At 48.1% G+C, this 14865-nt stretch overlaps 1 protein-coding gene across 3 annotated transcripts in view; it reads right to left on the reverse strand.

The window, feature by feature from the left end:
* ZMAT4 (zinc finger matrin-type 4) overlaps positions 1-12827 on the reverse strand; it is a 367237-nt gene extending 354410 nt beyond the window's left edge. For all 3 annotated transcript variants that reach the window (NM_001135731.2, NM_024645.3, XM_017013836.3), the window contains exon 1: positions 12684-12827. The gene's annotated coding sequence lies outside the window, so the exon portion shown is untranslated. The remainder of the gene's footprint in view (positions 1-12683) is intronic.
* Positions 12828-14865: the final 2038 nt, after the last annotated feature.

The raw sequence follows: 14865 nt of genomic DNA on the forward strand, positions 1-14865 counted from the left end.
CATTCTCAGGATCCGCCTTTCTACGTCCTGTCTGTCTACACTCACTCCCTAGGTGATCTCACAGACACCATGAAACTCTGATCACTCCCAGGGTTGTCTAGCTTAGAGCTCGTCTCTGAACTCCAGACCAAAACACAACTATCTAGTGGGCATTTCACTAGAGCTCCAGCAACCCCCAAAACAAACTCGTTTCCTCCCTCTCTACTCCTCACAATTTCTAATTTGCTCCTTCTACAGTCTTTCCCACCATCTCAGGCCAAAAGCCTTGGAATCATCCTCGAACCCTCTAGTCTCTCAAACCCCACCTTCAACCCATCAGCAAATCCTGCCAGCTCTCCCTTCAAAGTACATCCAGGATCTGCCCTCTCCCTCTCCCTCCCCGCTGTTACCATCCGACCCGAGCCATCTCCCTTCTTGCCAGGACCAGTGCCTCCGAGGGCGCCTCTGCCTCCACAGAGCCCCACTCCACTGTACTGTCAACATAGCAACCAGAGTAACCTATTTATTCATTTTTTACATTTTTATTTATTCATGTATTTATTTTAAGACGAGTCTTGCTCTGTCACCCAGGCTGGAGTGCAGTGGCACAGTCATAGCTCACTGCAGCCTCGAACTCCTGGCCTCAAGTGATCCTCCTGAGCAATCGTTTTAAATCATGGACTGTGTTACTCCTCAGCTCAAAAATCCCAGTGGTTCAAGGAAGCACACCCTGTCCTCGCTGCTATTCCTGGCACCCCAAGTGTCTCCAGCTTCAGGGTCTTCTTGGGCTGGACTGCTCGTCCCCCAAATACCCACGGGGACCATCCCTCGCTGCCTTCAGGTCTCTGCCTAAGTGGCATGTATAAGTGAGACCCTCTCACTCCCTGTTCCCCTTGTGGGGCTTCACGTTTCTCCCTTGCACTCATTGGCCCTTCCACAGGTTTGCTTATGTGTTTGCCGTCCATCTCCCCCACTTGAATCTAAGCTCTGAGAGGCTGGGAACTGGGTCAGTTTTGTCCATTCTGAATCCTCTAAGTTTAGAAGTGTACCTACCAATTCCCAACATTCTGAGCACTGAATAAAAGAACACATAACATGTCAAAAGCTCATATCTCCTATTAAGGAAACTGAAGGATGGGAAAGAGAAGCACATTGTTTGCCTCATGGAGAAATCAAAGAACAGAGCCATGGCTCAGAGCTCACACAGCCCCAGAGCCAGGGTGTCCCTTGCTAAAGAGACTGAAGCCAAACAGTCCCCAGAGACAAAGGGGACAGATCAGGGAATGCCCTGCTGGCATCCTTCTTCAGGCCCCTGGGGATCAGAAGGGGCAAATGCAGAAGCAGCTTCTCTGGAGGCAGACAGAGCAATGCCCCAAATGCTTCCTTCCCTCGCTCCTCCAGGCCTCCAGAGTCACGCAGCTTGGAGTCCTGGCTGCAGCCCAGGAAGGGTGAGTGGACGGTGCAGCACAGCAGACGGCGCACAGGCTTGGAGTCGCCCACTCAGGACAAGTGTCACCTTGGTGAGTCTTGGTTTTCTCATCTGTAAAACCAGGGTGATGACCAAATGCTTAAACATCTGAAAACAGTGGGCAGGCAGCCTTAGGTTCTATTTCTTTCTTTCTGGTTTGTGTCTTATCACACCAAAAGTCTACCTCTAACTTTAAAAGAGATTACGCACAGGCTTGTTGCTGTGCCATGAGCTGCTCCCGAATTTCTGAACATCCCTCCTGGGTTCTCCAACAACTCCCCACTCTGCTCCCTTTTTTTTCCTTTTTATTTTTCTTGATGTCTCATAACTTCTCCTTTCTCTTCCCACATTCCGAAAATCCTCCTATCCTAACCTTGCTACATGAATGGTAACTGCTTGAACACTTGTGATTGGAATGACTGATTTAAAAAGCCCAGTTTTGAGGTAGGGCGCAGTGGCTCACGCCTATAATCCCAGCACTTTGGGAGGCCAAGGCGGGCAGAACACGAGGTCAGGAGATCGAGACCAACCTGGCTAACATGGTGAAACCCCGTCTCTACTAAAAATACAAAAAATTAACCTGGCGTGGTGGCGGGCGCCTGTAGTCCCAGCTACTTGGGAGGCTGAGGTGGGAGAATGGCGTGAACCCAGGAGGCGGAGCTTGCAGTGAGTGGAGATCATGCCACTGCACTCCAGCCTGGGTGACAGAGCAAGACTCCGTCTCAAAAAAAAAAAAAAAAAAAGCCGGTTTTGGCCAGGCACGGTGGCTCACGCCTGTAATCCTGTAATCCCAACACTTTGGGAGCCTGAGGAGGGTGGATCACCTGAGGTTGGGAGTTCAAGACCAGCCTGGCCAACATGGTGAAACCCCATCTCTACTAAAAATACAAAAATTAGCCAGGCATCATGGTGGGCACCTGTAATCCCAGCTACTCGGGAGGCTGAGACAAGAGAATTGCTTGAACCCAGGAGGCAGAGGTTGCAGTGAGCTGAGATTGTACCACTGCACTCCAGCCTGAGCGACATAGCGAGACTTCATCTCAGAAAAAAAAAAAAAAAGTATGTTTTCTGATTTGTAAAATAGTGGTTTGGTATAGGAAATTTGGAAAATACAAAAAAAAAGTTTAAAGAAATCAGAAGTCATGTGTTTCCCAAAGCATGGTAAGAACTGGCAGGCGAGCAACCCTCCCAGTCTTCCTTTCTCTCTTCCTGCAACCCCGCAGAGCAATTGCATTCTCAACAGGAACAAAACCCAGAGACACGGCAGAGGGGAAAGAACAGGTATGAGACCCCTCAACCCACTTCCCCTGCCTCTCGGCTCCCCCTCCCTTCGGTCCTCTCACAGCCATGTTATTGCAGGTGTAATAAACAGGAGAGACTTCTGAGACAGATCCTGGAATGCTGGGGCACCTCTGGCCATTGTCCCCTCCCATCCCCTTGTGGAGCCAATCTGCCCCTGAGGAGCCACACAAAGTTCACGCCAGGTCTCAGCTCCAGATCTCCACTTGTCCCCAGCACACCCCTCCTGCCTCCCATGAGGCCCTCATCCTTCAATGCTCAGGGCTTGGGACCCTCTGCCTCCATGAATCCTGTGAGTCCGTGTTCACCCTCAGCACTATCCACTTTTCTCAGCACCTACACTCTACCTCAGCTGAATACACCCTTGGACCCAAAGTCATCTCTTACTCTTAACTCCTTCAGCATAGGCCAGGGCCGAACAGAGTGCTACTCCACACCCCTCCTTCTCCAGAAACATCAGGTAGGCCAGCAGGAAGCCCTTCTCCATGACAGGTAGGGCTGTATTTGCAGACAGAAAATCTAGCTCATTCCATGCCTGGCTATTATGCCTGCTGCCCTTACAAACTAAGGAGAGTGGCTTTGCCTTTCCAAGTATCGATTTCCCCCTCTGCAAAATGGGGATGCCAGCACCTTCCCCACCCACCTCTGAGGCTTGTAAATACAAAACACCACACAATGAGTTATTATTAAAATAAACAGAGCAGCAAACAGCCATGCAGCCTACACCACTCCTCTTTGTCATGCCCTACCTTCAGGCAGGCCTGTCCACTTTTCCCAATTAGCCTGTGAACGGTCCAAAGGCATGCCCATCAGAGCCGTCACCTGCACTGCTTAGAGAAGGTGCCCCAGAGCCCCCAGGTGGCCCTGGCACCCATCACAGAGCCAGCCAACTGTGACTTTCACCCCGTGGAGACTGTCTCAGGCTGCCCAGAGTTTATGCAACAAAGGAAACCACAGCAGGGAGCAAACACATTCTGGAAAAGCATTAACAAATGCGACACTCCATCAGGAGGAGACCCAGAGGGCCACCTCGGGGGGGCCCGCAGTACCCAAAGTCCCTGCTGTAAATGGAATAGCTGCCACACATGCATTTGGTCTTAATTAATAAGTGGATTAAGCCAAAGGCATGGCTTCTGGGAAGGAAGGATGACAGGAAGGAAGGGTGGCTTCACACCTTCTTGCAGAAATCTACCACTCACTTCTAGAGCACATGGAACCCCCAGAGTAGCCCACTCTGAAAAGAGCATGGTGTGGGGCAGTAAAGTTTCTTGTTTTCATACCTAACAAAACCACTCACTGACTTTGTGACCCTGACCAAGACAGCCTTTTGCTCGGAGCCTCAACTTCTCTGCTTGTGAAATGAGCAGATATATGTGATGCACCCCTTGAAATGCTAAGACAGGCCTGACCACTGCAGGTGACAGGGCCCGGAGGTGGGAATGCAGCGAAGAGGAAGGAACAAGGATATTCCCTGCACAGGGATCTTGCACACTTCACACCTGGCTGCAGCAGAGGTCCAGCCCTTACTGACAAAGCAGGCGGCACTTGCCGCATTTCACGTGAGCGTTTATCTTCTCCCACCAAATGGACTCAGGATGCAGGCATTTCACATCTTAGTGAACAGCATCGCACCCAGCTTTGCTACATGGATAGTCACTGCTTGAACATTTGTGGTTGGAATGACTGATTTAGAAAGCATGTTGTCTAATTTGTAAAATAACATGTTTACTGGAGGAAATTTGGATAGCACAAAAAAGTTTAAAGAAATCAAAAGTCATATGTTTCCCAAAATGCAGTGATAACCACCATGAAAATTTTGATAATATAATATTCTGCTCTAGTTCTCAGGACTACATACACCTTTTGTTTTAATTGCAATTATACTCTATTTACTTTTAAGTCTTTACTTGCTTAATATATATTATTAGCATTTTCCCATATTCTTATGTATTATTCAATGTAATTTTAATAGTTTTCTTGATTTCCATTTTATGGAGGAACCATAATATATTTAATTAATGCCTCCATGCAATGTTTGCTGTAATGAATAATGCTGAAAGGAATATTCTTAATTAGAACTATTTTGCACATCTCTAACTATTTCCTTAGGATAAATTCCTAGAAGAGGAATTGCTGACTGGTTCAAAGAGTATATTTTTTTGAGACACATCTCCTATGTTTCCAAATTATCTCATTTCACATATCCACCAGCTAAGTCTAAAAATGTCCATTTCCCAGCAACACTGGATATTACATTATCATTTTTAATTTCTGCTAATCTGTTAAATGGATAACGATAACTTGTTTTAATTTCACATTTTTGTTATTAGTGAGGAGAGACACTTTTCTTTTACATATTTTTCTTACTTCTTTTGTTATGTGAACTGTCTATTCCCATTCTTTGCTCACTTCTCTATCAGGGAAAGGCTGATTTTTAAAAACACTTTTTGAAAAAGAGAATGAATCCACAAACCCCTTGAAAGATCCCATTCCCCACGTCTCACGAACACCTCCACTGAAGCATTAATTTAAATGTCCAGTGTGGATCCTTCTCCTATAGTTTAAACCCATTTCCTCCCATCCCATCTTCAGAGGGAACACTGCTCTCTCTTTCACCTAACACTATGACCTTTCTTTGTCACCTGTCAGCTTCTCCTCCCGGGGATGAATAATTCCTCTTCATTTTTCCCTGATCTAGTGTAACTTATGAAGTCAAAGTATCGGCTTCTGATGCTGCCCTCCTCCCCCTCCCCATTGCCACTGTCTTCCTGCGGGCCCTCGCCATTTCTCACCTGGACAGCAGCAAATTACTTCTGAACTGGCCTCTCCCCTTTGCGCCCCTCTCAAACCTCACCTCCACTCTTCATTTCACAACTGCTGGACCATTTTTCCTAGATGCAAATGTGAGCATGTCATTTCCTGCCTGACAGTTTTCTGCTCCTTCATGTGGCAGTGGCCCCTCCCTCCCTACCTGGTGGGCACCCACAACCCTACCTCCCCTTGCCCCCAAAACATGCCTCGTATGGGCAGATTCAGCAACATCCACATCTCACTGACACATTGTGCCAATCATGCGCTGGATGGAGTTTTGCTACCGTGGCTCCCTCTTTCTTACCCTCCTCCCATCCACCTGATGGTACCTATTCAAGCCTCAGGTCCCATTCAGGTGTTCCTCACTCCCAGCGGCTCCTCTGCCCACCCCAAATAAGGAGAATCATGGTGTACCCTACACCCAGATGCACTCTATCCACCTAATACACCTGACTATATTCCAGTAATGTCTGCGGCATCAAAATCGAGGGCGGGGGCTGGATGCGGCAGTGTGTGCTTGTAATCCCAGAGCTTTGGGAGCTAAGGTGGGAGGATTGCTTGAGGCCAGGAGTTCGAGGCTACAGTAAACCATAATTGCACCATTGCACTCCAGCCTGGGCAACAGAGTGGGGAGAGGAGAGGAGAGGAGAGGAGAGGAGAGGAGAGGAGAAGACTTGAGAGGAGAGCAAGGGGGAAGGGGGAGGGGGGAGGGGGAAGGGGAAATTGAAGACAGTGTGGTGATCTCAGTGAACATCATTGTGAGTGGTAAGGACACATGGTGGTCACCACGTTGGCCACCCTGCCTGGTGTATCCCTTGGGTTCTCTCCATGGGCCATGTGGGCTGCTCTGCCCTCTGCAGATGGGCACTGTGGTCCCTGGGTTTCCTCCCTTTCTGGGCTGACGCACCGCTCTTCCCGCATCTGCACCTTCCCAAGCTTGAGCCTGTCTCACACCCTGGGCTCCCTGCCTGGCCCACCAGCCCCTGGCGTTCCCTGGGCCCTCTGCCCCTGAGGCTTCTCCACGCCTTGTCTCAGCCAATCCCTGGAAGGGCACCCTGCCCTGCTGCCTGAGGGGCTGATGGTCTCGCTGGGCCAGTTCCTGCAGGAGAAAAAACCCCTCTTCCTTCTGGTAGATCCCCTAGTGCCTACCTCCGTGCTGGGCACAAAGGCCCAGGATGCCTTTGTTAGCACAGGGACACCCTGGCCAGCCAGGGGCATGGAAGGGTCGCGCCTCCCCACACTCACTGCCGACCCTGAGCTGTCCTCTTGATGCCTAGCTCATCACTAACTGGGGTGCTTTCTTCTTTCTTCTCAGGGCTACACACAGAATGGTTTTATTTTGTGGTGCTCAGTTCACCAATTTATCTTGCTTCCTACTTGGCTCAAACCAACACAAAGCAAAACCCTCCACAGCTGGTCACGGCCTCATTCTCAAAACTGTGAGACTTCCCAACTTCACTGACAGCCTGCCTTTGGGTCCGGAGCTAGGCCACCACGTGTGTGGCGGTGTGCACTCTCCACTGGGCCACCACTCCACCCTCCCTGAACGCCCTCACATGGTATGTTTCATCCCGTTCCGTAAGGTAACAGGTGATGTGTCTTACCCAGAGTGATCCCATGCTATGGGCCCATCTTATTTCATTTATCCAGGGAGAAGTTTGCAGAGATATCTAAAGTCTTTCTTCCCTTCATAAGATTCAGATTAAGTATCTCATTGCTCCCATGTCTCTCTTCTCATCCTCTTCTGGTCTACCCATCCCCTCCTCTCAGCTCTGGTTTCTAGAACACATTCCCGCCACCCTGGCCTCACAGCCACACTCAGGAGCCCCCCCAGGGATGGGTCAGCAGCCCCTCCCAGCCACTCAGCCAGAACTAAAGAGTCATCGGCATAAACAGGGAAGCTGGAGTGGAGTGCATGGTGTTAGTAACAGGCACTCAATAAATATTGCTTAACCACAGGTGTTCCTGTCTTTGCCATTTGATTACAGAGAAATTAGGAGCCTAGAGAAAGCAAATGGTCTATTCAATTTGGAAACAAGAAGAAAATGAACTACAAAGCAAATAACACTGACTTGGGACATGGAGGACCTGGATTCTGGTCCTCCCTCTGCTATCAGCTCGCTGTGTGACAACGCCAAGGCCTGTTACCTCTCTGGGCATCATCTGCCACATCTGGAAGTGAAAGATTAGACTTGATGAATGATTCCCATGCAATAGACAGAATCTGCCAGTCCAGGTGGCAGCTGGTGCAGGGCAGGGGAAGGGTCTCTAGGCTCAGGGAAATAGGTAAGGGTTCTCATCAGCAGAGGGCACAGATGCCTGCACTCCATGGCCCTTGCCTTTCCCTCCTCACAGATCTGTGGCTCCTGCCTCAGCTAAAAGCCCCTGCTTATCCGTTTCCTAAAGATCATCACAGAGGCTCAACAACCTTCCCTTTTTAACATCTCTTGCTGATGGAAAATTCTTCCTCATACCTAATCTAAGTCCATCTGCTGCAATTTCTGTCTATTTTCTCTAGTTCAATCCTTGCTGGAGATGGAGAACAGCTGGTCGCCATCCTCCATATAACATCCCCTCCTAAACCAAAATCAGTTATTACATCAGCCCTCATCCTGTGCTTCTTCTGTTACAACATCTTCCGAGCTGCCCTCATGGATTCCAGCTCTGAAAGCATCGCTGATCACCATGGCCCGCACGAGAGGATGCTCTGCAGGCTCCGAGAGCTTCCAGAGCTGTAGCATCTGCAGTGGGATGTAGGGCTCTGTGGCAAAATCAAGAGAGAAGGTTGGAGCGGAAAGGAGCCTGTGAGAACGTAGTCCTGACCTCTGGCTCTATATCTAAGGGGACTAAAAGTCAGAAAAGGCACATAAGCACATGCCCAAGTTCAAATCTGAGGGATCTAGCTCAAGTGCCAGAGCCCAGATAGTAAGATCACAAAGCCCTGGGACACTGCAGCATGTTTTCAGCATGGGTCAGAGCAGGACCAGCCAGAGCTAAAAAGCGAAGGCCGCCGTTTCCCACTCTGCTCCCCATCCAAACTCAGTCTGCCTCTGCCCAATCCCACTAGCAGGTGCCTGGAATTTGACTGTGCACATCTTTTGTTTTCTTTCCAACTTTTTAATTTTACGTCCGGGGGTACATGTGCAGGTTTGTTATAATGGATAAATTACACGTGGCAGGGGTTTGGTGTACAGATAGATTATTTCATCACCCAGGTAGTAAGCATAGTACCTGATAGGCAGGTTTTTGATTCTTACCCTCGTCCCACCCTCCACCCTCAGGTAGGCCCCTATTGTTCCCCTCTTCATGTCCATGTGTACTCAATGCTTAGCTCCCACTTATAAGTGAGAACATACACACATCTTTGATTTCCTTTAAGAATGTAAATACCTCTGTAAGTAGCAACACTATTAACTGTTCACACCTTAGTATGAATGAGTAGATTTGATCCTTTCCAACTATTAACAGATTTAGGGGTGAGAACAAAGAGCAAAGAAACTGAGAGCACAGCAGGCAAATTTCCCTGCATGCTAATGTTTCCAAGGTCAGCTCTGCGCATGGGGCTGCAGCAGGCGCAGGCCTCAGGACAGTGGCACAGTGAGGGCTTGCGGCTGGTGGGACTCTCCAGGTGTCAGACAGGACTGTGCTTCGAAGCATCTGCCCTGTCTGCCTCATGCAGGTCAGCTGCACCACTCCAGGTGCTCTGGTGAGGTCTGCATAGAACTGAACTTGGGGACAGGATTACCTCATTGCTCCCCTAGGGTAGGCTCCTATCACATTCCACAATTCCTGATGTCCCCTGGTTAACTGTTTCAGGAGTGAGGTGCACAAAACATCTACAATTAGATCTCCACCCTGGGGCCCCCTGAAATGACAGGAAGGAAGAAACAAAAAGTAACCAGGAAAGAGAGGTAACCCTACATGTAGGGTGAATGGAGGAAGGGAGGAAGGGGCACGAGCATGGGAAGGAGAGTGAGTAGGATGAATGATTTAGTCATAATTTGGGCTATGAAATTTTCCTAAATGAAAGATGAAGAGGGAAAATAGCAGAGTGTGGTGAATACATTTCAGGGTCTAGGTTTCAAAACAGCCTTCACCCCACCTTGAATACATGGAAATAGCGTGCTCCAACCTCTTCAACTTTCTGAGGTGTTCCAGAGTGTTTCAAATCTCCAGACACACCTTCCCCTAGGACAGGAAGGGAATTCACACATCCACAGAAAAAAAAAACAAGACATTGTAAAAGCGTTTACCAAAACAGCGAACACAATAGGCGTGCTTATTAGATTTCCCCAAAAGCACAAAATTAAATTTTAAAGCAGAAGGCAAAAAGGCTCTTCTCTGATAAAAATTTTAATATGTTTTCAGTCTTATTTCAGGGGACAATTTTCTTTAACAGAAAAATCAGCACAAAATGACAAGATCAAAGTAGGTTGGCAAAAGATTACTTACTGATATGTTTATGATGAAAAGGGATAACAGAAGGATGACAGGGATGGAGGGACAGAGGGGTAAGGAGAGGACTTTTATTTGCCAGGTAACTCACGCAGGGCTTGGAAAAGCAGAAAGACACAACCCCTTCCCACCATAGTGGTTAAAAGAGAGAGAGATCCAGTTTGGCCAATTGGGAAGAGGAGAAAACGCTGGGTCTGTGGATAGTGCTTATCCAGGGTCCTGGCCAAAGCCATCATGTTTGATGAAATGACAAGTAACACATTTAATTTCCTAGGCATTCATCGGTCCTTGCATACACAAACAGGCACGCAGCTTCACAAGGAGTTAATTAGCCTAACACCAGCAATTAGATTCTCCAAACTGGATCGCAGCAGAGGCGCTGGGTCCTGGGTTTCACACCTCACCCCATCCAAGGTGAAGCTGTAATGAGGGTGTTTTGCACTTTGTCAATTATTTTTCAGCTCCTAGGATCCTTTTTTGGTCTAAAGTTGTTATTTTAATGATCTCTGTTCCGAATGGGGAAATACAAGAAAGAGGATTGAGGAGGAGGCAGAGGGAAGGAAAGCGAGCGCTCCAGCGTGTCCCACTTGTACTTTCCAAGGCCCCCTCCGCCCCCTCCCCCCACACTGCCTCTTCCCTCTGTGCATGACTCACCCTTCAGGAGCTGTTTCAAATGCCTTACTTTTAATGTTTCCTATCACGATAGAAATCCAACAGATTGGCATCAATTAAAGGGAACCCCCAGTTTTGCAATCCTCAAACTCAAAAGCATTTTCTGGTTTCCTTACTGCCTTCATGAAAACCAAGGTGCTCTCATGCAAGATCCCCCACGTGCTGGGGGCTGCCCCTCCTGGGCTCCCTGGGGGTCACGTGCCCTGGAGAGGCCACAGAGGACGACGTCCATGACTAACCATGCCCACCGGCTGGGAAAAGTTCAGCTTCCGCTCCAGGCCCCCCAAACACAAAAAGATTATAATTGGCAGGGCTGCAAAATTGTTTTGTTTACTGTCAGATAGGAAGTACAGAAGAGAACGCTGATGGTATTTTGACACCCCCCCCAAAAAAAAAGTGGGCAGGCATTTTTTTAACCATTGTGAATAGAGTTTCAATAATCACAGTTCCCACCCAAAATAGCTGCCTACAGGAGGTGGAGGAGAATCTGTTGTGGTGGTTAAAGAAAATAAGAATTAAAAAGTGGAAGGGATTTGTGGAGCTGGAGAATCAAGACTGTCATCTGCATCTCCGTGGAAGGGTGCCCTGAGGAAGAGGTGTCACTGGAGAATCCCTCCCAGAACATGCAGTCTTGTCAGGACTGGGAATCGAACTCCCCAGCTGCGGGTTTAACGGAAATCAGAGGGATGAAAATCATCTAAACTCTTCAATGCCCCTAGGACTTGGAAGATCACCCCCAGACTATCAGCTTCAGAGTATCCCGCAGGTAGGCAGCGCAACTGGTGAAGTGCGGTGGGCACACAAGCAGAAGCTGCCTTCGCAGAAGAGGAAGAAAGTTCGAGACCAAGCACATCGCCTGCTTCCCCATGGGTCCCTGCTTCCTAGTGACTCACCTACCTAATATCTCCCTTTAGCAGAAGCCAAAGGCGGAGGAGGCAGGGGGAGAAAGGAGTTTCCCAAGGGTCTCAGAGCAAGAGAGGCCCCTGAGGTCTCGCGATTTAGAATGCTCAAGGGTGCTTCTGGGCTGAACCAGCTGCCTGCCGGGGTGAGCTGTTTTACTTCAAGAGCAGTTAGCAGAAGCAGTGTGGATGGTGACTTCAGCACCACCTCTGCCACAAATGCACCTGTGCACCAAAACAACCTGCGCACCTACACGGAGCCACCCCCTCCACCAGCCTCCACCTCCCAGAGCTGCGGGGATGCTCCGGGCCAGGCACCCCTTCTGGGGACAAGGGTGTAAGCTTCACATGGTACCAAACCGAACTCTCTATCCCGTTTTTTGGCTTTTTCTTTTTTTTTTTTTTTCAGGATACCCCAAGCCTGGAAAGTCTTCCAGAGTTTTCGGGAGCTAATTAATTATGTGATTTCCTCTCCTCTGAGAACTGTTTTGCTGGCGTGTCACCAAGTTGTCACGTAGGTGCCCACCAGGTCAAACAGAATAGACCATCCTCACCCACCCACCCCGGGGAATGTCTCCTTCCACCAAATAAAATGAACTGAGACAGGCAGGAAGGAGGCAGAAGTTTGAGGAAGGACTCCAGTTGAAGGTCACAATAGTTTGGGGAAGGCAGATCAAGGTAATACGAAGGGGACAGACCCTATAGCGGAAAACACAAACAACCAATCACGTTTCTCTCGGAACCAGCCTATCCATGATGGGTGCACCAGGAAACAGCACACCCTGGGATCCAACTTCTTTCACCCAGCACACCCGAATCTCCACCCCAGCCCTGCAGACACCCTAGCCTGAGACCAGACCTATTTAGACAGACCTGAGCGCAGCTAATTAGGAGTAGTAAACAAGCCCATTTCTTGCCAGCGCAGAAGTTTCCCAAATTGTCCGCTTGTTTTCCTCCCAACAAAAGACAGTGATTTCCCACCTTTATCACATTCCCTCCCAGAAACTTTTCTTTCTGCAATCCCTCCACCTAGGCTAAACTGCAAAGCCACTGGCAATGGAGACGCAGGCGCTGCACCCCCGGGACGCAGGCAGAGGTACCTTTTCCGCGAGGCAGAGGGGCCGCCGGTGCCCAGAGGCCAGCTGCCCTGCCGAGCAGTAGAGCGAAGCTGTGGGCTGGAGCACGCTGAGGATTACACGTTCCTGTCTCTGCGACCAGACCTTTCGGCAGCTCGGACCAACTGTGCTAGCGATGCACTTAGCAATTATCTGCTGGCTCCGACGCCCCGCCCTCTGCTCTTGCGATTGGCTCTCCAGTCCCGGGCAGGACTGCATTGGTTTCAGCCGACCTCACTCATTGCTTTGGCTCCTACTATTATCTAAGCCATCAAAGGAAATAATTCCATGTTTCATTGACAACCTGTAAGGCTCTCCTCCAGCCCAATGTGGGGGCAGGACCGGGAGGCCAGTGGAGAGAGGGGAGAGGAGTAGGAAAATGTGGGGGAGCGGGGTGGGGGAAGGAGGTGGAGGGGAGAGGAAAAGAAGGAGAAACTGTGGGGGGGTAGGAGGGTAGGAGGGAGAGAGAGAGAGAGATGGAGCTATCAAGCAATCAGATTCTTGCTCTAGCATTTTAACTTCCACAAAACAGAGCCCATAGCAACAATTTTCTGGCTTTATTTTCCCCCTAACTGGTAAATGTTGCTGAGGGCAGAGAGAATAATAACTATGGGGTGTCTGCCGGCATGAGACAGACTCTAGAAAGCCGAGCAAGGTTGAGGGCTGAAGGGATGGAGTAATGCTTTTCACAGGGCCACCCTGGAGGACATGTGAAGGACATGGCAGATTGCTTGGGGAGCATAGTAGGTGCATACCTGGAGTTTATCTATCAGTACTTTATCTCACAGTCCCCCTCATCCCCCAACCTGAGGAGACAATTTTCCTTTGCACCCTGTCCAAAGAGTCTCAGAAGAGCTATTCTTAAAATCCATAAAACTCTGGAGTTTCTCACTGTTCTCACTGGGAGGTCCAGAAAGCCGAGCATTCTAGAGTGAATGATTCTGCTGGGACCCTCACTTTGGTTTATTCTGACATGGCTTAAATTAATCGCTTAGACTTTCATCAACAACCTACGCACGTGAAGAGAGAACATACCCATCAAAGGGTGGGGACAGCTTAAACACTTTTCCTTGTTCACCAAGAAATCATAAAGTCTCACCCTAGTTAAAATGGCTTTTATCCAAAAGACAGGCAATAACAAATGCTGGCAAGGATGTGAAGAAAAGAGAATGAACCCTCCTACATTGCTGGTGAGAATGTGAATTAATGCAGCCACTATGGAGAACAGTATTGGGGTTTGTCAGAAAACTAAATATAGAGCTACCATCTGATCCAGCAATCCCACTGCTAGGTATATACCCCCAAAAAAGAAATCAGTATCTTGAAGAGATTCCTGCACTGCCATGTTTATTGCAGCTCTGTTCACAATAGACAAGATCTGGAAGCAATGTAAGTGTCCATCAACAGATAAATTAGATGAAGAAAATGTGGTACATATGCGTAGTGGAGTACTATTCAGCCATAAAAAGGAATGAGATCCTGTCATTTACAACACCATGGATGGAACTGGAGGACATTCTGTTAAATGAAATAAAACAGGCATGGAAAGACAAACTTCACATGTTTTCATTCATTTGTGAGAGCTAAAAATTAAAACAATTGAACTCATGGACAGAGAGAATAGAATGATGGTTACCAGAGGCTAGGAAGGGGCGGGGGTGGAATGGTTACTAGGTACAAAAATAGAGTTAGATAGAATGAATAGGATCTGGTATTTGACAGCACAACAGGGTTATTACAGTCAGCAAAACATATTGTACATTTTAAAATAACTGAAAGAGTACAATTGGATTGTTTGTAACAAAAGGAAATGCTAAATGCTTGAGGTGCCAGATACCCCATTTACCCTAATGTGATTATTACACATTGCATGCCTGTATCAAAATATCTCGTGTACCCCATAAATATATACACCCACTATGTTCCCATAAAATTAAAAATTTTTAAAAATTAAGAAGAAATCATAAAGCACAAATTTTGACCTTCCCCTCTCCTTAATGTATTTGTCACCATATGGAAAAGACATCACTTGGCAGCTAAATTTTCTTAACTAGGTAAAATATTTATTATTAATGTTTCTAAAATGAAAGAGCTTTTATAAATCAATAAGTACAAGACCTATAACCCAATTCAAAAATGGCAAAGGACAAAATGGGCTGAATTTTTT

Source organism: Homo sapiens, chromosome 8, assembly GCF_000001405.40.
Source record: "Homo sapiens chromosome 8, GRCh38.p14 Primary Assembly".
NCBI classification, from domain to species: domain Eukaryota; kingdom Metazoa; phylum Chordata; class Mammalia; order Primates; family Hominidae; genus Homo; species Homo sapiens.